The sequence below is a fragment of the Homo sapiens genome, chromosome 9, assembly GCF_000001405.40.
Source record: "Homo sapiens chromosome 9, GRCh38.p14 Primary Assembly".
Classification (NCBI taxonomy): domain Eukaryota; kingdom Metazoa; phylum Chordata; class Mammalia; order Primates; family Hominidae; genus Homo; species Homo sapiens.
The window spans coordinates 77,239,473-77,263,594 of NC_000009.12; the positions used below are offsets into that span (position 1 = coordinate 77,239,473).

The following is a 24,122-nucleotide window of genomic DNA, read 5'->3' on the forward strand; positions in this document are numbered from 1 at the left end:
ATCTTTAATGCTTTAATTTTTTTCCCTTTGTACTTTTTTATTTTATTTTATTTTTGATCTGATGTCAGTATGAAGTACAAAGTTTCTTTTCGTTAGAATTTACCTGGTATATATTTTTTCTTATATTTTTACTTTTTCCCTGTGTTTTCAGATGTGTCATGTCAACAACATGTAATAGGATTTTTTCCAATCTAGATTTATGGTCCTTATTTTTTATTTATATCTACTTTTTGCATTTAATTAATTTATTTAGGCTTATGTCTAACATCCTATTTTGTGCTTTTGAATTTGGTTTTCCTTGTTTTATTTTTCTTGCCTTCCTTTGGATAAATTCTAGGATACCTTTCTTCCCCCTTCCCTACAATCTACTATTGGGAAGTTAAATATTCTCTATCTCTTTTTATTTTATAAATTACAGTATACATTTTTGTAAAAATATAAATTTAATGAAAAATTTTATATTCTCCTAGTCATTATATGGACTTTAGTACTCTTGAACTTTATATACCATCCCCATATACTATTTTTTTTACTTAAAAATACTTTATTGTACTGTATGTATATAGTTCATGGTAGTTTACAATTACTTGTGCATTTACTACCTTCTTTGCTCTTCATTTCTCTTATAGCTTACACTTTTTATTTGATTTTATTTTCTTTCTGTTGGAAGTTCATTTTTTTTTTTTTTCAACCTCTGCCTCCTGGGTTCAAGCGATTCTCCTGCCTCAGCCTCCCGAGTAGCTGGGATTACAGGCACCCACCACAACGCCTGGCTAATTTTTAAAAAAATTTTTAATAGAGATGGGGTTTCACTGTGTTGGCCAGGCTGGTCTCAAACTCCTGACCTCAGATGATCTATCCTCCTCGACCTCCCAAAGTGCTGGGATTACAGGTGTGAGCCATCGGACCTGGCCTGGAAGTTCATTTGTAAACTTCCCTTGTAAATATTTTCTCTTGTAAGAATCTGCTGGTGGCAAATCTGTGGTTTGTTTTTGTTATGTTTTTGTTTTTTTTTTTTTTTTTTGACAGTGTCTTGTTCTGTCAGCCAGGCTGGGGGTGCGGTGGCATAATCTCGGCTCGCTGCAACCTCTGCCTCCCAGGTTCAAGCAATTTTTTTGCCTCAGCCTTCTGAGTAGCTTGGATTACAGGGGTATGCCACCACACCCAGCTAATTTTTGTATTTTTACTAGAGATGGGGTTTCACCATGTTGGCCAGGCTGGTCTCGAACTTCTGTCCTCAGGTGATCCATCTCAGCCTCCCAAAGTGCTGGGATTACAGGCATGAGCCACCATGCCCGTTGCATATTAGCTTGACATGATACTACTGTATGTAGAATTAAAGGTTGATGTTCATTTTCTCCTTAACACATTGAAGAGGGCATTCTGTCTTTAGGTTTTCATTACTGATGTTGAGAATTCAGGTGTCAGTGTGTCTGCTGTTTTTTTTTGTACATTATCTACCCTTTTCTTTTACATATAAGAACTTTTTATCTTTTGTATTCTGTTGTCGCAATTTGGTGTATCCAGCTATAGATTTGCTTTATATATCCTTTTTGGGATTCACTGGATTTCATGAATCTGAGTACTGGGATTTTTAATGAGTTCTAGAAAATCTATCTGGAAAATTCTTAGCCACTAACTCTTTACATATATTCTCTTCTGGAATTCTGGCTAAATGAATTTTAGCCTTTCTTACTCCATCTTCCATTCTCCTTAACTTCTGTATCCTGCTTTCTTTCCATCTGTTTCTTCTCTGTGTTACATGCTGGGTAATTTCTTCTAATTTATCTTCTCATTTACTGAGTCCTTCTGTAGCCATGCCCAATGTGGTATCAAATCTCTTCATTAAGTTTAATTTCAGTGATTATATTTTTCCCTTTAGGAATTCTGTTTTGTTAAATTTAAAATCTGTGTTGTCATTCTTTTTTGGTTTTGTATTTCCCACGGATATCTTTACACTTGTCTTTTTTTTTTTTTTCAGAGATCATAAGTACAGTATTTTATATTCTGTCTCACCAGTTAATTCTCTCTCTTCAGATAGTCCGTTATATGAAGACTTTTGTGGTTCTGTTTTTCCTATCTTCTGTCTTTTGTTTTTGTTGGTACTTACTTATGGTAACGTGTGTCTTTTTATGCTTGGTAATTTTTAATTGTAATCTGCTCATTTTCCTTAGAATATTATTTGGGAGAATTCTCTGAAGCCTGAGATAAGTGGGCCTTCATTTCGGGAAGATTTATATTTCTTCTGCCAGGTACCTTGGGTATGTTGGTGGCATAGCTAAATTAATTGCTTAAGATGTTCTGGACTGCCAAAGAATTCTTGGGCTACATACCTCCTTGAGGAATATATCATACTTATCATTCACAGAGGTATTACCTTTTTCTCCTAATTTTTCTCACAGCCTTTGTTTGCATCCCCCTGTGAGAGTGTTTTAGGGAGAGGAAGGTTTTACTTCACAATTATTCTTTCTTTGAGTGAGTGTCCTTTAAGATTTCAGATTTGTGAGGAGAACTCTTGCAAGACTCTCCATCTTTGTCTTCTGTTTCCTGTGTTCTGAGAGGCTGAAATTATCTTTGGAGTAAGATCCAATTTCATTGTCAAAGTTTTAAAATTCTGGTTTTGTTAAGCCTGGGAGTACACTTCTAATTGAACTCAGAATTTGTCCCATTTTGGTGGCTATAAAACCTGGCATGAAATTATGATTTTTCTCTTGCCATTTTTATTATATTCACTTTATCCTTATTGGTAGATATGAGATATACTATCTGTCATTTTCCTTTGTTCTCTTTCCTAAGATAAAATAATTTAGATGAGTCAAGAAATCACATTTTGATAAGACCTTCAGGAAATGTCTAACTAGTTGTCTTTTGTTAGGCAATATTATAATAGGCATCTTGATTCATTATTAATTTTTCTTTTTTCACAGAAAAGTGTGTGTTATATTCTTCAAAATATATGTGTCTTCTCTGGCTTTTGCTCATTTTTCTCTACTATTTTTATATCTGAATAGTTTTAAATTAGATTGTACATGAATACCTTACCTCTAGAAACTGTAGGGTTTGCATTTATTCCTGTATTCTTTGTTAAAATCTGGGAATTCCATTCCTAGTTTACATTCTGTATATTGGTATATTATATACTGAGTAGAAACCAAAGCATAAGATCAGGCTACTTCTAGTCAGTTTTTCTTGATTGATAGAAACTCATAGTTAAATACAAATTAATCATATTGGAAATCCACTATAGACATTCAGATTTTGAGATTTTTTATCTCTAAGATTTATTTACCTCAACTTTTATTACTTAAAAAAATTACCAAACAGTAAATATCCACAATATAAAGTTCACATGTTACAGAAATATGTTTTAGAAAGTGGAAGTCTTCAGTATTTTACCTTCTGTACATAATAACCTTTAAAATTTGAAGTCTGTTCTTCCAACTTTGTTTTCTTTTCTATACCAATAGTATAAAAATGCTAATTCTATGAAAAAAAATGGAAAGCTTCTATGATAGGTTTTTGCACTTAATTTTTAAAATTTAATATATTTTGGATTTTTTCTAGAAAGTTAAAATTTACCTATTTGTGAAGAGACTCATATATATTATAATGATTCTGGTTACTTAGGTTCTTTCCTTCCCTCATATTCCTCCTTTCTTCCTTTTATTTTGTTACATTCTCCTCTATTAACATCCTGGTTTCTTTCTTGTATTATAGGTTGAGTATCCCTTAGCAGAAATGTTTGGGATCAGAAATGTTTCAGATTTCAGATTTCTTCGGATATTGGAATATTTGCATTTTACTTACTTGTTGAACATCCTTAATTGGGAAATAGGAAATTCAGAGTATTCTAAGCAGCATTTTCTGTGAATATGATCTTTGAGGATCATGTTATTGTGGTGCTGAAAAAGTTTTAGATCCTGGAGCGTTTTGATTTTGGATTTTCAGATTAGGGATGCTCAGCTTGTTATTTTCCCCTTCCTTTCTAAGAACTCAAGGTCTTTCAGGTCTTTTTGTTGTCAACTATGGCATGAGCTTACAGAGCCTGCTCAACTAGTTATCCTTTGTCTCTGGCAGGAAAACAGATGTGGTCGTTTGCTAAAACTCTTCTTTCAGAGTACAAGGTTCTCTGATAGGATCATAGTGAATCATTTTCTTTCAGTTATTTCATTTATTTACTCATTTAAATATATATCAAGAGCCTAATCTATATGTCAGACACTATGCTAGGTTTTAGGGAACATAGCAATGATCAGAATGGATGTAGTTCTTGCCTATTGATAGATGTTATACTCTTATGGATAGGACAAATATAAAACTAAGAGCAATATACTGGAAATTTTTGATTAATGCTGTATGGGTCCAATCAGGAAAGAAAAACCACACAGTAATTTTGATAGGTATGTTTAATGTAATGAATTATTAACTGTAATGAGGGACTGTTTTGTTACTCCAAAGAGTAACTTTAAAGAATGTAACAAGAGGCCAAGCGCCATGGCTCATAGTTGTAATCCCAGAGGTTTTGGTGGCCGAGCGGGGAGGAACACTTGAGGTCAGGAGTTGGAGACCAGCCTGGACAACATAGTGAGACCTTGTCTCTACAAAAAATTACAAAATTAGTCAGGTTTGGTGACGTGTACCTATCGTCCCAGCTACTTGGCAGGCTGAGACTGGAGGATTGCTTGAGCCCGGGAGGTCAGGGCTGCAGTGAGCTATGATAGCAACTCCTACATTCCAGCCTAAGTGACAGAGTGAGATGCTGTCTCCAAAAATACATATATTTAAGAAGAGTAGTTATGAGGAATATAGAACTGAGACAGCGTTCCCTAGGAAGAGGTCTCTCTCTTCCCTGAGAATTGAAATCCACACTTTGTTGGGAGAAGGAACCTCTGTGAGTCATTGAATGGTAGAAAAGCCATTCTTGTGTCTTTCTGGTAATCTGCTCTCTAAAACTTTCTGGAAATCCATCCTCTGAGGTAAAAAGGAAAAATATTCATGGGGCAATGTCTCACTGCCCTCGTTCTGCTGTGAAACCACCTGAGGAGGGTTCTAGGGGCAGAATACTGGCTTTTGAGTGCTGTTATGTGCACATTATGCATTGTGTTGGAGAAAGGCACAGTGTTACAGGATATTGCTAAATGAGTGTACTGGAACCAGGAAGCCAGCTCTTTTCTCCTGCAGTGTCTCTCCTGTGTTCTTTATCTATTTCAGTGCTAGTTGGCAAAGGAAAATCATTTAAGCAACTCAGATCTACTTTCACAGAGCAGACAAGTGGGTGAATTTGGAGCTGAGTGAGGAAACAATTCTATAATCAGCCCAAATGCTGTGAAAGAAATGAGAATGGATAGATGCCCCAATTTAGTCTTGGTGGTAGTGTCAGAGAAGATCTCTGAAAATTCAACATTAAGATCAGATATATATGTAGGATCCACACTGCTAAAGGGTATAAGAAAGAGCCTTCAAGGTGATGGTCCACTGTGAAGAGCTTAACTTAGCAAACAATTGGGTGAATTTGGAAGTTGTAGAAAGCTGAATTGGTTCTAATGTAATGAGTGAGGGGAGAGTGGAGGGATGTTAAAGATGCATACTCTTGATTATGCAAATATGAAAGTCATATTAAGCAGTTAGGATTTTGTTGTAAGTGCAATGGAAAATAGGGGAGAGACCCAATCAACCTAAGGTCAAAATAAAATACTCCCCACTCCCTTCCATTAAAAACAACTTAGAGAAATCATTGTGTCCTGGTATCAAGAAAGGCTTTGTTGAAACTAAGGCTTGTGGTAGGACTTCCAGGGAGTACCAGAACTTAGATTTGTAGAAGCCAGAATACTTGAGGAATCCTTAGACTAGAGATGGAAATGAAGATAGAGAAATGCTTAACAGATAGTCTCTGGAGAATCTTGAATGTCAGATTGACCCTTCTGGATGCTTCTTGTTACTTTAGTAAAATCATGCCATCTGTGTTTGAATCCAAATCATTTGGGGAAAAAGAATGAATAACTGTTTGAGTCAATTCTGCTCTTAAGTTTCAGGCTAATTGGATGGTCTTCAGAATTTTTGATGATCTGTCAGTCTGTTTTCAAACCTCTATCTCACCTCACCTTCCATCCTCATTTTAAGAGATTTCACTTGAATTTGCTTCTTACAGGCTATGGGAAATGCCAGGGTTTTTTCTTCCTCTCTCTACTAGAGTCTTGCTTGGGCTACCTGTGCAAGGCCGTTGGAATCCCTTAAAGATGACACAGTTTTGATAACAGTTTCTCATATTTCAAGGAAGAGCTGTCCCAGATGTAATTTATTAGTGTTATTTTTATAAAGACTACTGGAGGCAGCGTAATTTGTGAAGAAAAGAGGTTTATTTGTTTCATGGTTCTACAGGCTGTACAAGAAGCATGACTCCAGCATCTGCTTTTGGTGAGGGTTTCAGAATGCTTCCACTCATGGCAGAAAGAGTTGGGGAGCCCACATGTGCAGAGATTACATGGCAAGAGAAAGGAAGGAGGTGCCAGGCTCTTTTAAACAACAAGCTCTAACTAAAAGAGCGAGAACTCACTCATTACCATGAGGACAACATCAAGCCATTTGTGAGGACTCTGCCCCCATGACCCAGACAGGTCTTATTAGGGTCCCACCTCCAGCATTAAAAATCAGGTGTCAGCATGAGTTTTGGAGGGCTAAAATCCCAAACTGTAGCACAGGCTTAGGTTATTTATTTTCTATTTTAATTTAAATAGATATTTAAAACAGAAGGTATTTTAATTACTTTTAATTTATTCATTTTCTTTCTGTTGGCTTGTATATCAAGCTGATTATGTGTTGGCACTTGACACTTGCTCAATGTCTGCTTTTAAGCTTTATAATTGTATATGTATTTTATTTGTAATTTTAAGTACATTAAAATTGTTGACATATTCTTTAATTTGAACATGTATTCTTTAATAATAAATTCTTAACTTTAAAGGTTATATTCAAATATACTGACCTGCCTACATTTTGTGTGTGTGTGTGTGTGTGAAAAAATGTGCCTTTTTGTTTGAGTGTCAGATCTTTTTAAACTTTTTAAGTCAAATATCTTTCATTTACTCTAACTGATTTGATGGCTGCTCATATAATTTTTTCTTTAAGAAAGGGTTCACATCTCATAGAAAATAATTTGTTTAGATTTAAAAGCTGATGCTGATACTGGACTTAGGGACATAAAATAGATGAATTTGGTATACTAATCACATGCAAGTGAATGAATTAAATTTATTAGACTAAAAAACTCCAAGTGAATGAAGGACCTAGGGAATGGAAAACTCTGGTTTGTTGCCTTTTCTGGTTTGCATATGATTTTATTGAAGATGATTTGATAATCCAGGATTTTTTATATTCTCAGAATAATATTAAGATCAAGTGTTATTGTTCAGTATGGTAAATGTAGCTTATGAAGTTTATGAATTGAGAAGTATCTATGTAGATTCTAAGAGTTGTTGTGAGTAAATATTTTATGCCACTGAAACTTTTTTTTTGGTCTGTATCTTCCCAATTTTACCCAAATTGAGTTTATAGGTTAAAAATTTTTTTTGGAAGAATCACTCCAATTTTGTACTCAGCTATATTTAAATAGGAGTACATGCATTGGCAGGTATTTTAAATTTTATATTGGAAGTATTTTGCTGAGGTCATTTTAAAATTAATACTAATTTTACATTAAGATTGTTTTATCAGTTCATATATTTAGTGATTCTGTATTTCTCGAGTAATTTGTGAAAAGTATTCATAGAAAAGATTTACATTTTTCCAGGTCTACTGTATATTATTGAAACACAGAAAGTTCTTGATCTCAAAATTAATTTGAAGGCTTCATATATTATTGTCCCACAAGATGGAATTTTTAGTCCTACATCAAATCTGCTTCTTTTGGACCTTGGTCATCTAAAGGTATATACTAATAATATTTGATTTATGATACAGCATTTGGGGTGTTTCTTTGTTTTAAATGTATTTTGTTTTTTAAACAGTTTGATTTATTGCTTTTTTTCCTAGATTTGTGGTAGATAAGTAAGATTTGAGAAATCTCCCTTTCTGTTAAATAAAGTGAAGTCTCAATTAGGTAGTTTTCCTACACTTATGAAAGCAAAATGACCAATTAAACTCTGCAGGGCAGGTTTGAATCTAAGCTTGATTGACTGATTGATTGATTGATTGATTGACTGATTGATTTGAGACAGAGTCTCACTCTGTCGCCCAGGCTGGAATACAGTACTGCGACCTTGGCTCACTGCAACCTCTGCCTCCTAGGTTCAAGTGATTCTCAGGCCTCAGCCTCCTGAGTATCTGGGATTACATGTGCCCGCCACCACGCCCACCTAATTTTTGTATTTTTAGTAGAGACGGAATTTCACTATGTTGCAGACTGGTCTCGAATGCCTGTACTGAAGTGATCCACTTGCATTGGCTTCCCTAAGTGCTGGGATTACTGGCGTGAGCCACCGCGCCTGGCCCGAATCTAAGATTTATATTTGTAGTATTTGAGAGTTGTGCTTGAGAAGCTTATTTCTTTCTCAATTTAGACCTATTACTTGATTACTTAAAGTATATAGAATGATAGAGAATTGTGGAAACAATCAAATACGTCTTCATCTTTCTGAAATTTTTTGTGCATAAAACTATATATATATTGACATTTTAATATTTGTATTTAATAATTCTAAATTGAGAAATGGCCTTCTTCTGTTTACCTAAGTCATTTCCCTTTTTTTCTTTCTTTTTTTTTTTTGAGACAGAGTCTGGCTCTGTGGCCCAGGCTGGAGTGCAGTGGCACGATCTCGGCTCACTGCAAGCTCCGCCTCCTGGGTTCATGCCATTCTCCTGCCCCAGCCTCCCGAGTAGCTGGGACTCCAGGCCCCCGCCACCACGCCCGGCTAATTTTTTTTGTGATTTTTAGTAGAGACTGGGTTTCACCATGTTAGCCAGGATGGTCTCGATCTCCTGACCTAGTGATCTGCCCACCTCGGCCTCCCAAAGTGCTGGGATTACAGGCGTGAGCCACCATGCCTGACCCTTTTTTTCTAATTATATACTTTTTTCTTTCCAAATTTTCAGTAGAGAATACATTTTTTTGGCGGTATTCTAGATCTGTGCTCTTCACTATAGTACCCACTTCCCAGCCACATGGGGTTATTTAAATTAATTAGAATTAAAATTAATTCAGTTTCTTAGTCATATTAGCCACATTTAAGAGTTTAATAGTCAGAAGTGGCTAGTGGCTACTGTATTTTTTGTTTTTGTTTTTGAGACATAGTCTCACTCTATTGTCCAGGCTGGAGTGCGGTGGCGTGATTTCAGCTCACTGCAACCTCTGCCTCCCGAGTTCAAGTGATTCTTCTGCCTCAGCCTCCCAAGTAGCTGGGATTTCAGGCGTGTGCCATCAAGCCCAGACAGTTTTTGTATTTTTAGTAGAGATGGGGTTTCACCATGCTGGTCAGGCTGGTCTTGAGCCCCTGACCTCAAGTTATCTGCTGGCATTGACCTCCCAAAGTGTTGGGATTACAGGTGTGAGCCACCGCGCCTGGCCTGTATTTGACAGCATTGATATAGAACATTTCCATTATTGTAGAAGTTCTACTGGACAGCGTTGCTGTAAATCATTAAATGTAGAGGAATATCTATCACAATTTAAAGAACCAAGAGAGGTGGATAATATTAGAATGCTTTTTCTGGCCACTTAACAAAAATACGTGCCTGTCCTTGATACTGACATCTTCCCTTATCCTATTTTTAAAAATTCTGCATTTGTTAATTGTGTAAACGCCCACTGGGTATATATTTATAATAAAATTTATACAGCTTATTATTCATATTTGAATTTTATTCAGTTGTTTCAAGGGCAGTGTGGTATAATAGAGCATAAGGTTAGGAGTAAGGATATCTAATTTTGTGACTTTAGGCAATTTGCTTAACCTGTTACCTAAAATTTATTACTTTTCAAACAGAGATAATCTTTTTTTGAGTGTTTACTTCACATGAGCTATATAGAGGGAAAAAAAGTTAAAAAATGTATGTGTACACACATGTATTTTTATGAGTAAGATCTTTATGTACTATTGTGGAGTCATCTCCAGGATGTTTAAGTGAAAAAAGTAATGCGCACAGTATGCCAATAAAGGAGAGATACAAATATAACTTGCCTGGAGTTGCATAAATGGCAGAGTTGGAACTAAAATTCAGCTATCCTATTTAATTCTGGACTCTTTTACTTCTTATTGTACAGCCATGTCAGTATTTGTCATCATGCCATAGAAACATTTTATAAGCTAAATTTGTCTCTTGATCTTGCTCTTAATCAGAAGGCCTCTTATCACATTTAAAAAATTTGTAGACATATTATTCTTCAGGACCATCTTGGTTTCTTTTAATGCAAGTAAATGGGAAATATATCCTAATATGTAAAAATTTACTTTATCGCTCTCCTTATTATTATATATCTCATCGATGAGGACCTTTCTAATAGCCTTATTATGTATGCTTACTTGTGAATTTATCCTCTCCTATTAACATTTTATAAGTCTAAAAATTAAACACTTTATACTTACATTTTGAAGTATTTTGCATAGTCTAAACTATTAAAATTAACTTGAAGGTGACGAGTAAAAGTCGTTCTGAATTACCAGATGTGAAACAAGGTGAGGCCAATCTTAAAGAGATAATGGATAGAGCTTATGATTCATTTGATATTCAACTTACAAGTGTACAGCTGCTTTACAGTAGAGTTGGTGAGTATAAAATGCATTATTTGTTGATTGATTTTGTTGAAGTGATTAATTAGGTTTTTAGACACTTTGAAGACCTTCCTCTTAAATGTGTTAGAACGTCTATATTTTTGAATTAGAAATGATAGTAAATATTGTCTAGCTGTTCTTACCAGGAGCAGTCTTGCCCCCCCAAGAGACATTTGTCAATATCTGGAGACATCTTTGGTTGTCACAGGTAGAGCATGAGTGGCACTCCTAGCATCTAGTGGGTAAAGGTGAGGGATACTACTAAGCATCCTACGATGTTCAGGCCAGTCCCTCATAATAAATATCAGTAGTGCTGAGGTCGAGAAATCCTGATCTGTACCAATGTTTTCCAGCCTTTGACCAAAGTTGGCCCATATTGAAAATGATATTGGTATTACTACACAGTTGGATAACCAGAAGACATTGCTCAGGGCCAGAAGTAAGCAGCCTAGGGGCTCTGACAGTCATGGACAGCCATACAAAGACGAGGGTCACTCTCCTAGACATACTTGTATCTCATTCACTGTGGTATACCAGTCAGGAGTCTGATTTAGAGCTAGTTTTGAAGATGAAGTCAAAGCCAGAAATTCACTTGCCAAGAGCCATTTAAGTAGTTAGGGAGAGACCCCAGACTCGTTCAGCTTTCTTTTCGTTCTGTCATACTGCTTTTGAATCCCTAGAGTGTTAGTGAACATGCAGATAATTCAGTAAAATTTGATCTGTTGAAGAGATCCATATGTAGAGATCTAAGTGTTTGTATGCAGTCAGATTTTAATTACCTGAGCTAACCAATAAAAGGAGAAACAATGAGAATCCAAAGTAGTTGTTATCAAAATTGTTAATTTGTATAGGACTGAAACATTTTATTTCTTCAATTATATTTGCTTCAGGATAGTGAATGTAGTTTGTATTTTTATCATATTCTAATTGTGGTGGAGGAAACCCAAAGGTATAGTGGGTGGCAGAAGTACGTTATTTTCAGAATTCCACAAATTCTTTTTCAGGGAATAAATTACTGGGTTTGGTTTTCCTTGACTGGGATTTTATCTGACTCATAGAATTATTATGTTCAAATGAGATAGTATATATGAAAATGCATTATATGACTGAGATCCCATTAATCTTGTTATGAATTTTTAAAGTTATTTCTTTCTGATTATACCTATTTCAGAAAATCTGAACAACTGAGAAACCAAAAAGATAAACCTTTATGTTACTGCTTAGGCAGGAACACTATTGATATTTTGTTGCACATCCTTTTAGTATGTTTTTCAGTGTGTGTACCTGTGAATATATGGGATGTGCTTGTTTGGTGTTTATATTGGAGGTATTTGTGAATGTATTTTTTTTACATGATTTATATAGTTTTATATCCAGGTATTTTTTCTTTTACCAGTAATATTTTGGTCACTTGAACTCATGGTTTTTATTGTCTATATTATGCTATATGGCTATGGTCTCAGTTATTTAACCATTCCCTTATGGAACATTTAGGCTCGTAACTCTGCAGTGATTGTTGCCAATCAACAACATCCAAGTAGACTTGGATGTGAATTTCAGTTTTATCACTAGCAGATTGATCATAGGCAAATTATAAATTCTTTTGAGTCTCAGTTTTCTAAAGTGGGATTATTATACAGAATTTTGAGAATTAACATTTAAACATTACCTAGAAGAGTAGAAATTATAAATCTTGAATAAATGGTAGCTTTTATTAGTTACTGTTAAAGAACCTCACTTTTTACTACCTTTTGCATTATTGCTTTACTGCCATGTTACTTTTTTGGGTAAGGTATGTGGTTGGTGTAGTGATTGTCAGTGGATGCGCAGTAGATTTGATAACCTACTGATTGTATGTACCTGAGAATGTGACATTAAGATTACCTAGATGTGGGGAAATTTCCTCATATAATGGAATGTGTGACTATGAAGTATTAATAGTTATTTTAGGTTTTGTGTGTTATAGTTACGTTAAATATGAACTATTTTCTGTACTTAGGTGATAATTGGAGAGAAGCACGAAAACTCAGTGTATCTACCCAGCATATTTTGGTACCCATGCACTTCAATTTGGAACTGTCTAAGGCCATGGTTTTCATGGATGTAAGGATGCCCAAGTATGTACTGTTTGTTTCATGTGAATATGGATTTTCTGGGTAATTCTGTAGCTAGGGAAATACCATACTTAACTGACTCTTCCTTGTGTGTGTGGTGAAATGTATATAACTGACTCTTCCTTGTGTGTGTGGTAAAATGTATATAAAATTTACCATTTTGATAATTTTTAAGAGTATAGTTCATTGTCATTAGGTTCACGCATGTTGTTATGCAACCATCACCACCATTCATTTCCAGAACTGTTTCTCTTCCAAACTGAAACTCTGTACTCAATTAAACAATAACACCCCATTTCACCCTGCACCCAGCCCCTGACAACAACCATTATATCTTCTGTCTTTATGAATTTGACTATTTTAGGTGCCTCATATAAGTGGAATCATAGAAAATCAGATTTTGTGTGCCTGGGTTTCTTCACTTAGCATAATGTCTTCAAGATTCATCCATGTTGGAGCATATGTCAGAATTTCATGTATTTTTAAGGCTGATTAATATTCCTTATATGTTGTATATACTATGTTTTTATTTATTCATCCTTCAATGAACATTTGTGTTGTTAATGCTGTTTGGCTGTTGTAATAATGCTGCTGTGTACAAATATCTGCTTAAGTCCCTGATTTCAGTATTTTTGGGTGTATACTCAGAAGTAGAATTGCTGGATCATATTATAGTTCAGTGTTTAAGTTTTAGAGGAGTGCTGTGCTGTTTTTTATAGCAGTTACACCATTTTACTTTCCTACCAGCACAAGAGTTTCAATTTCTTCACTGCCTCTACAACACTTGGTATTTTCTGTTTTTTTATTTTAATAGTCATCCTAATAGGTGTGAAGTGATGTCATTTTTCTAATGCTTAGTGATGTTGAACATCTGTTCTTGTGTTTGTTGACCATTCATGTATTTATTTGGAGAAATACATATTCAAGATCTTTGCCCATCTTTTAATCTGGTTATTTATTTTTTTCTGTTTTTCGAGATGGAGTCTCCCTCTGTCACCCAGGCTGGAGTGCAGTGGCATGATCTTGGCTCACTGCTACCTCCACCTCCTGGGTTCAAGTGATTCTCCTGCCTCAGCCTCCTGAGTAGCTGGGACTACAAGCGCATGCCACCACGCCCAGCTAATTTTTTGGGTTTTTGGTAGGGATGGGATTTCACCGTGTTAGCCAGGGTGGGCTTGATCTCCTGACCTTGTGATCCACCCGCCTCAGCCTCCCAAAGTGCTGGGATTACAGGCATGAGCTGCCGCACCCGGCTGAGTTGTGAGAGTTTTAAAATATATTTTGGATATTAACTCTTTATCAGATATATGATTTGCAAATATTTTTTCTCACTCTGTGTTTCCTTATCACTCTGTTGATTGTGGCCTTTGATGTCTAAAAGTTTAAAATTTTTATTGTCCAGTTTATCTTAGTTGCCTATGCTTTTGGTGTCATATCCAAGAAATTATTACAAAATCCAATGTCATAAAGCTTTTCTTCTTTGTTTACCTTAAAGAGTTTTATAGTTTTAGCTTCTTTTATTTAGATCTTTGATCCATTGAGTTAATTTTTGTATGTGACATATAGGATAAGGACCGGCCTTTATTCTTTTTTTTTTTTTTTTTTTTTTTTTTGAGACAGAGTCTCGCTGTCGCCCAGGCTGGAGTGCAGTGGCATGATCTCGGCTCACTGCAGGCTCCGCCCCCCAGGGTTCACACCATTCTCCTGCCTCAGCCTCCCGAGTAGCTGGGACTACAGGCGCCCGCCACCACGCCTGGCTAATTTTTTGTATTTTTAGTAGAGATGGGGTTTCACCGTGCCAGCCAGGATGGTCTTGATCTCCTGACCTCGTGATCCGCCCGCCTCGGCCTCCCAAAGTGCTGGGATTACAGGCGTGAGCCACTGCTCCCGGCCTTATTCTTTTGCATGCAAATATCTCATTTCCTCTATACAATTTGTTGAAAAGACTGTCCTTTTCTCATTGAATGGCCTTGGTACCCTAGTTGAAAATCATTTATCCATATATGCAAGAGCTTATTTTTGGGCTTTCTGTTTTATTCCATTGGTCTCTATGTCTTTATTTTCCTGTACCACACTATTTAGATTACTGTAGCTTTATAGGAAGTTTTGAAATCAGGAGATGTGAGTTATTTAACTTTGTTCTTTCGATTGTCTTGGCTATTCGGGATCCTTTGGTATTCCATATGAATCTTAGCATGTTTTCTTTTCTTGTAAAAAATGTTATAGAGATTCTAACAAAGAGTGTATCAAATCTGTAGATCCCTTTGAATAGTATTGACATCTTAATAATATTGACTGTTATAGTCCATGAACATGGAATATCTTTCTATTTATTTGTGTCTTTGATTTCAGCAACATTTTCTAGGTCTCAGTACTAAAGTCTCTTGCCTCATTTCTTAAGTTTATTCTTTGTGATGCTATTGTAAATGAATTTAAAAATTTTGGGGGGATTGTTTATTGTTAGTATGTGGGAACTTAACTGATTTTTATATCCTGCAACTTGTGAATTTGTTTACAATTCTAAGTTTTAGGATTCTAAAGTTCTAACAGATTTAAGATTTTCCACATATAAGATCCTATCATCTGTGTATGGAGTTAATTTTTTTCCCTTTCTGATATGGGTGCCTTTTATTTCTCTTTCTTGCCTAATTGGTCTGTCTAGAATTTTTTAGCACTCTCTTGAATAGAAGTAGTTTAGGTTGGCATCCTCACCTTAATCCTGAGCCCAGAGGAAAAGCTTTCAGTATTTCACCATTGAGTATGATGTCAGCTGTGGGGTTTTTATGGATGACCTTTATTATGTTGAGGTAGTTTCCTTCTGTTCCTAGTTTGCTAACTTTTTATTATGAAAACGTGTTGAATTTTTTCAAATCCTTTCTGTGCTTTGAGATGATCATGTGATCATGTAAAAAATGATCAAGATGATTTTTTTCCTTCATTCTGTTAATGGGGTATGTTACCTTAATTGCTCTCTATATATTAAATCATATTTCTTGAGTCCAGCAAAAAATCCTTTTATTCCAGGAATAAATCCTCTTATTCTAGGAATAAATTCCAAGAGTAAATGATATATAAACCATGTAATGGGCTATTGATTTAGGTTTGCTTGTGCTTTTGGGTTTTGCATTAATATTTTTCAGATATATTGGACTACAGATTTCTTTTCTTCTAGTATCTTTGTCTGGCTTTGGTATCAGGGTAATGCTGTCTTTATAGAATGGATTAGAAAGTATTCCTGCCTCTTCAGTTTTTGATTGTTTGGTAGAATTCACTATTGAAGCGATCAGATCGTGGGAGGTTTTCTTTATTGGGAGGTTTTTGATTACTGATTCAGTCTCCATAGTAGTTTATCCAGATTTTGTTTCTTCATAATTCAGTGTTGGTAGATTTGTGTTTCTTGGAATTTGTTTCATTTAAGGTTATCCATTTGTTGGTGTAAAATTGTTTGTAATTGTCTCTCTCTTAACAGCCCTTTTTGTTTTGTAAAATGAGTAGTAATGTTACCACTTTCATTTCTGATTTAAATTGAGTCTTTTCTGTTTTTTTCTCAGTCTAACTAAAGGTTTTCAATCTCGATCATTTTGAAGAACCAACTCACATTTTTGTTGATTTTTTTCTCTATTGTTTTTCTATATTTTATTTATTTCTGCTTTCATCTTTGTTATTTTTTTTATTTCGGGTAGCTTTAGGTTTAGTTTGCTGTTCTTTTTCTAGTTCCTTAAGGTGTAAAGTTAGGCTATTGATTTTAGGTCTTTCTTCTTTATTAATGTAGGTGTTTACAGCTATAAAGTCCGCTTTTGGCAGACTTTTGCTGCATCCTATGAATTTTGGTATGTTGTATTTTCATTTTCATTTGTCTTGAGTTATTTTCTAATTTCCCTTGTGATTTCTTTGATCTCATTGCTTGTTTAACCATCTGTTTTTAAATTTCTATACACTTGTGACTTCTACACTTTTTCCTTCTACTCTTGCATTCTAGACTCATTTCATCATTATTGGAAAAGATACTTCTTATGATTTCACTTTTTTAACATTTTTTGACGCTTGGTTTTTTACCTGACGTATAATCTGTCCTGGAGAATGTTTCATATGCACTTGAGAAAAATGTCTATTTTCCTGGATGGAGTGTTCTATATATGTCATTTTAGTCCAGTTGGTCAATTTTATTGGTCCAGTCCCCTGTTTCCTTATTAATCTACTGCCTGGTGTTTCTATTCAGTATTGACAGTGAGATATTGAAGTCTCCTATTATTATCAAGGAACTGTCTGTTTCTTCTTCTTAATTGTGTCAGTGCTTGCTTTATATATTTTTGAACTCTGATGTTTGGCACATATATGTTTATAATTGTTATGTCTTCTTGGTGAAGTTATACTTTCATTATCATTATGTAATGTCCTTCTTTATTGCTTGTAACAGTTTTTGATTTGCAGTCTATTTTGGCTGTTTTTGTTACAGGCATCCCTGCTCTCTTTTGGTGATTATTTGCATGGAATGTCTTTCTTCATTTTTTTTTTCACTTTTAACCTGTGTGTTTTCTATGAGTTAACGTGATCTCTTGTAGACAGTATGTAGTTGCATCCTGTTTTTTAATCCATTTTGTCACTTGAAGTTTTTAATTGAGAAAAAATATATTTACATTTAAAGTAAATACAGATGGGGAGGACTTACTTTTGTCATATTGTTATTTGCTTTCTGTATGTCTTACAGCTTTTTTGATCCCTCATTTCCTCCTTTAATGGTGCCCTTTGTGTTCAGTGGATTTTTGTGTGTGACATGCTTTGATTCCTCTCTCATTTCCAGTTTTGTATATTCTACAAGTATTTTCTTTGTGGTTACCATAGAGATTGTGTATAATATCCTCAAGTTATAACAGTCTATTTATTTATTATTTCTTTATTTTTTTAGACAGGGTCTTGTTCTGTCACCTAGGCTAGAGAACAGTGTTGTGGTTGTAGCTCACTGCAGCATTGAACTCCTGTGCTCAAGTGATCCTCCTGCCTTGTCCTCCTGAGTAGCTGGGACTACAGGCACACGTCACTACACTCAGCTAATTTTTAAATTTTTTTGTAGAGATGGGTCTTGCTATGTTGCCCAGGCTATAACAGCCTATTTAAGATTGAGGCAGGTTGCATAGTCTTATACCTGTAATCCCAGCACTTTGAGAGGCCGAGGTGGTAGGATTGCTTGAGGCAAGGAGTTTGAGACCAGCCTGGCCAATGTAGTAAGACCCTGTCTCTACAATAAGTAAATAAATAATTAAATAAAATTAGCTGGGCATAATGGTGCATGCCTATAGTCCTAGCTACTTGGGAAGTTAAGGTGGGAGGATAGCTTGAGCCCAGGAGGTTGAGGCTACGGTGGGTTATGATTATGTCACTGCACTCCAGCTTGGGTGACAAAAATTTTAAAAAGTGAAAAATAAAACTGATACCAAGTTAGCTTCAATTGCATGCAAAAACTCTACTTGTTTCCTGTTTTGCCCCCTCCAGTTTATCTTATTGATGTCCCAGATTATATTTTTATGTATTCTATACCCATTAACAAAGAATTGTAATTATTTCTTATGCATTTGTCTTTTAACTTATGTAGAAAATAAATAGTAGAGTTATAAACCAAAATTCTAATAACATTTGCTTTATACTCATCCATGTATTTACATTTACTGGGATTATTATATTTCATTGTTAGCTGAAGCTATGTGCCTGAGATCCTAAGTAGAGAAGTCTGTTGAACTAGACTGGGCCATTTAGATTATTTATTTCTAAATAGTTTTAGACTGTAGGTAGTCATTTAACTTCTTCCTTGTAACAGCACCTTTTTTCTCCCTTACAAATATTCAGACCTCAGGCACAGATCTATTTTAAAATTTAACCAAAGGCTTTTCTCATCTAACATCTACCAAACACTTCCAGGAGAGTTGCTACTAGCAAGGCAACATGAGAAGGCTTCATGCCTAGTTAAAGTGTACTAGGAAGAATAGAGGGAATTAGAGAGACTCTGGCCTTTTCCTATATGGTACATGGGGTGGACATTGTTTTTAATACTTATTATACTTAACATGTAAAAGGGAGAGACCCACACTCTTTTTTGTTGACCTTTACCTCATAGTGACTCTATCTACTAACAAATATTGTCCAGGGCCCTAAATCTTACTCTCCTAGATTTTCTTTTCTTAGAAAATCAAAGCATGCACTGAGAGTCTTGAGGCAGAGGAATGGCTAGAATTTGGTTTAAGAGACAGAAGGAAAGAAAACCATGCTACGCATTCCCTTGTTTTTTTTCAAATCCAGCTTTAGATATGGTTCAATTTAAAGAGAAAAGGCTTAATTCTTTTCATTTCTCCCAAATTATGTCTGCTGCTTGTTTACTCTTTTCTACTGTTTCTTGTAAAGTTTTTCATTCTGTGATAAAGATTAAAGATCTGTGCGATTTCTTGTTGTAAGCATATGACTAAGAATTGATTTTTTTTAGCATAGTTTAAGTACTTTTCTTCTTGGTAAGTATGCTATAATCTTGGAAGTTACAGGGTACCAGAAAAAGTAGGTGATATTTCTCTGAGGGAAGAAAAGGGCAGCTTTTATCTTGGTTTGGACTTGCTCTGTCAGTATATGCTTAGGAAGAATTTATGTCTTGTGATGCAGGGAATATGTACAGCATAGCAGGAATTAAAATAGCTGATTATAAGGGTACAGGGCAGAAATGACAATGACTTAACTTAGAAAGATGAAATCTTAGAAGTTATTTGGTTTCTATTTTATAATATTGTGAGCAGTATAAAGTGGATATGATATGTCAAATCCTGAAACTCCACAGGTGTCAGGAACATTCCCTTGAAAGTTGAGCTGCGTTAAGTTGAAGGCAAATAAAAGGATGCTTGCTATTTGGTAGATACTGTTTTGGTACCCAGCATCTTTAGACTGCGCAACTTGCAGATTTTTCAAGAAAGTGAAAAAAAGTTTAAGTGCATTAAGAGAACCGATTCATAATGTTTAACAAAGTTAAACTACTACTACGCTTGTGATTAATTACAAATATTTAAGGTATTGGAAATAAAAGAAAGCTTGTAATTTTCTGTAGGACTCCAGTACATTTTTAGAAAGATAACGTAAGTAATCAGTGTGCGTACGTGGAAAAAGTAATTTTTAGGGAAAATGCAGGGATAAAAATGGGGAGTGAAAACTTTCTCTCTCTCTCTCTGATAGTGAAAACTAACTTTCTGTCTCTCTCAAAGGAGACTGTCAAGGCAATTAAAAGAATAATAAAGCACTCTGATGTGGTTTTGCTCAATGATCTTTGATACATAGTCTCATGAGCAGGCTATTTGCACTGCCAAACCTTAGTTTTCTCATAGGAAGCATGTACATATAGGAACTTAAATAGAGAGCAAAAATAGGTTGTCTGCCTCATAGATTGTGAGGACTGTTTACAATAATGCATGTAAAGTGCTTTCCTCAGTGCCTGTCACATGAGAAACACTTGATTAGTAGTAATTGTCAATTGTATATAGCAAACAGTAGAAGGACATTACATGAAATAAGAACATAAACCTCTGAAAAATAATGAGTTTAGCCCATCTAATGAAACTGGTTAATACGGTAAGACGGAAATTGGAATAGAGATTTTTAGTGTTTAAAATCACATTTGATTCAGATAATTTGAGAACAGTCTTTTTAATTAGTGCACTTAAATCAGAATAATTCCTTTATAATTACTTATTTTTATCTTTTCAAAACAGATTCAAGATTTATGGAAAGTTACCTCTTATTTCTTTACGAATCTCAGATAAAAAACTACAAGGGATTATGGAATTGATTGAAAGCATTCCAAAACCTGAACCAGTAACTGAAGTATCTGCCCCTGTCAAATCATTCCAGGTAATGTTACTTTCAAAATTAATATAAGCATGAATTAAGAAAGTCCACAAATAGTATTTCAAACAATCACAGGAATTTTATATAAGACAATTTGCAATTTGTTTTGAATAGACATTAAGAAAATTACTTTTTTTTTTTTTTTTTTTTTTTGAGATGGAGTCTCGCTCTGTCACCAGGCTGGAGTGCAGTGGCGTGATCTCTGCTCACTGCAAGCTCCGCCTCCCAGGCTCACGCCATTCTCCTGCCTCAGCCTCCCGAGTATCTGGGACTACAGGCGCCCGCCACCACGCCCGGCTAATTTTTTGTATTTTTAGCAGAGACGGGGTTTCACCGTGTTAGCCAGGATGGTCTCGGTCTCCTGGTCTTGTGATCTGCCCGCCTCGGCCTCCCAAAGTGCTGGGCTTACAGACGTGAGCCACCACGCCCAGCCAGAAAATTACATGTTGAGAGAGAAATTGAAATGGTAAAAAGTATAAATAGTTAAGAAAGATATAAAATAATAAATCTACTTTTCTAATTTCTGCAGCCTCCAATCCCTCTCCTGAGCAATAACACTGTTAACTACTGCTTCTCTAGTTTTTAAAAAAATTTTTGTGGCATATACTAGTACACACATGCACAAGAACATGCATGTGTGTGTGTATGTAGTATGTGTGTGTATACATACATGTATATATTCATTTTTTTTTTTTGAAACAGAGCCTATCTCTGTCACCCAAGGTGGAGTGCAGTGGCGCAATCTCGGCTCACTGCAACCTCTGTCTCTTGGGTTCAAGCAGTTCTCTGCCTCAGCCTCCTGAGTGGCTGGGATTACAGGCGCCCGCCACCACGCCAGCTAATTTTTTTTTGCATTTTTAGTAGAGACAGGGTTTCACCATCTTGGCCAGGCTGGTCTTGAACTCCTGACCTTGTGATCCACCCGCCTCGGCCTTCCAAAGTGCTGGGATTACAGGCGTGAACCACCGTGCCCGGCCTGTATTCTTTTATTTTTAAAATTAAATGAAATCATTATACACACTATTCTGAATCTGTATTATTTTCACCATTATTATCATATATGCCTTAGATAAATTTTTATGTTAGCACATACAGATCTACCTCATTTGTTTATGGTGATATAGTATTTCATTTTCTGCATATACCATCTTTTGCTTAATATATCTTCTTTTGATGGATATTCACATTATGAGTGTTTACAGTTATGAAAAATACTGCTTTGAACTTCCTCATATATATACATATATATGTGTGTATATATATATTTGCTTATACTTTTATTCATAGGATAAATTCCTAGAAATGGAATTGTTGAGTAAAAGAGGATGTGAATTTTAAATTTTGATTATTTTGCCAAAAAAAAAAAAATTTTTTTTTTTTTGGGACGAAGTCTCCCTCTTTTGCTCGGGCTGGAGTACAGTGGCACAACCTTGGCTCACTGCAACCTCCGTCTCCCAGGTTCAAGCGGTTGTCCCATCTCAGCCTCCCAAGTAGCTGGGACTACAAGTGCGTGCCACTACACTTAGCTGATTTTTGTATTTTTAGCCGAGATGGAGTTTCACCATGTTGGCCAGGCTGGTCTTAAAATCCTGACCTCAAGTGATCTGCCTGCACTGGGCTCCCAAGTACTGGGATTACAGGCGTGAGCCACTGTGCCCAGCCCAGATTTGCTTAACTTATAGTTTGCTAACAGTGAATGAATATCTTTCTCTGCTTTCATTACTGAGTATTAGCAAATGTTAAAATTTTATTCGAAGTGAAAAAAATGTCTTCTGGTTTTGATATGCTTTTTTAAATAAGTAGAACATACTTTCCTAAGTTTACTATTTTAATTTCTGTTTTTGGAAACTGCTGTTCATGTCTTTTTTCTATTGGGTTATGGTTGTCTAATTAAGGAAGTAACCTGCTTGTCATTTAAAATTACTGTTTTTTCCTCATTTTATTGTTTGGTTGTTTTTTATCTCATATGTAAATTTATTTTTGCCAGGCAGAAGCGTTTTATTTTTTACATAGTCAATTTTTTTTTCCTTCATGATTTCTGGACTTTGTATTATGTGACTTTTCCCTTTCCAAGAGAATTTCAGAAAGAAAAAAAATATATTCACATTTCCCTCCATTTTCGGGGGTAACAGGGGGTTCTTTACTCATGTTTAAATGCTTTTCTTTTGAAGTAGTTTCAAACTTGAAACATTCCAAAAATAGTGTAAAGAAGGTTTTTTTTTATTATTATATTTTAAGTTCTGGGATACATGTGCAGAACATGCAGGTTTGTTACATAGGTATACACGTGCCATGGTGGTTTGCTGCACCCATCAACCCGTCATCTACATTAGGTATTTCTCCTAAAGCTATCCCTCCCCTAGCCCCCGACCCCTCGACAGGCCCCAGTGTGTGATGTTCCCCTCCCTGTGTTCATGTGTTCTCCTTGTTCAACTCCCACTTATGAGTGAGAACATGCAGTGTTTGGTTTTATGTTCCTGTGTTAGTTTGCTGAGAATGATGGTTTCCAGCTTCATCCATGTCCTTGCAAAGGACATGAACTCATCCTTTTTTATGGCTGCATAGTAGTCTATGGTATATATGTGCAGCATTTTCTTTATCCAGTCTATCATTGATGGGCATTTGGGTTGGTTCTAAGTCTTTGCTATTGTGAACAGTGCTGCATTGAACATACATGTGCATGTGTCTTTATAGTAGGATGATTTATAATCCTTTGGGTATGTACCCAGTAATGGGATTGCTGGGTCAAATGGTATTTCTGGTTCTAGATCCTTGAGGAATTGCCACACTGTCTTCCACAATGCTGGAACTAATTTACACTCCCACCAGCAGTGTAAAAGTGTTCCTGTTTTGCAACATCATCTCTAGCATCTGTTGTTTCCCAACTTTTTTTTTTTTTTTTTGAGACGGAGTCTCGCTTTGTCGCCCAGCCTGGAGTGCAGTGGTGCGATCTTGGCTCACTGCAAGCTCCACCTCCTGGGTTCACGCCATTCTCCTGCCTCAGCCTCCCGAGTAGCTGGGACTACAGGTGCTCACCACCACGCCCAGCTAATTTTTTTGTATTTTTAGTAGAGATGGGGTTTCACCATTTTAGCCAGGATGGTCTCAATCTCCTGACCTCGTGATCTGCCTGCCTCTGCCTCCCAAAGTGCTGGGATTACAGGTGTGAGCCACTGAGCCCGGCCCCTTTTCCCAACTTTTTAATGACCGACATTCTAACTGGCATGAGATGGTATCTCATTGTTGTTTTGATTTGCATTTCTCTAATAACCAGTGATGATGAGCTTTTTTTCATATGTTTGTTGGCCGCATAAATGTCTTCTTTTGAGAAGTGTCTGTTCATATCCTTCGCCTACTTTTTGATGGGGTTGTT

General features: G+C 35.8%; 1 protein-coding gene across 4 annotated transcripts in view; it reads left to right on the forward strand.

Moving 5' to 3' along the window:
• Positions 1–24,122, forward strand: part of VPS13A (vacuolar protein sorting 13 homolog A) — a 244,004-nt gene that overhangs the window by 61,939 nt on the left and 157,943 nt on the right. For all 4 annotated transcript variants that reach the window (NM_033305.3, NM_001018037.2, NM_015186.4 and 1 more), the window contains exons 20-23: positions 7,787–7,923; positions 10,625–10,757; positions 12,763–12,880; positions 20,614–20,752. In NM_033305.3, the coding sequence (NP_150648.2) occupies positions 7,787–7,923; positions 10,625–10,757; positions 12,763–12,880; positions 20,614–20,752 (527 nt within the window). The remainder of the gene's footprint in view (positions 1–7,786; positions 7,924–10,624; positions 10,758–12,762; positions 12,881–20,613; positions 20,753–24,122) is intronic.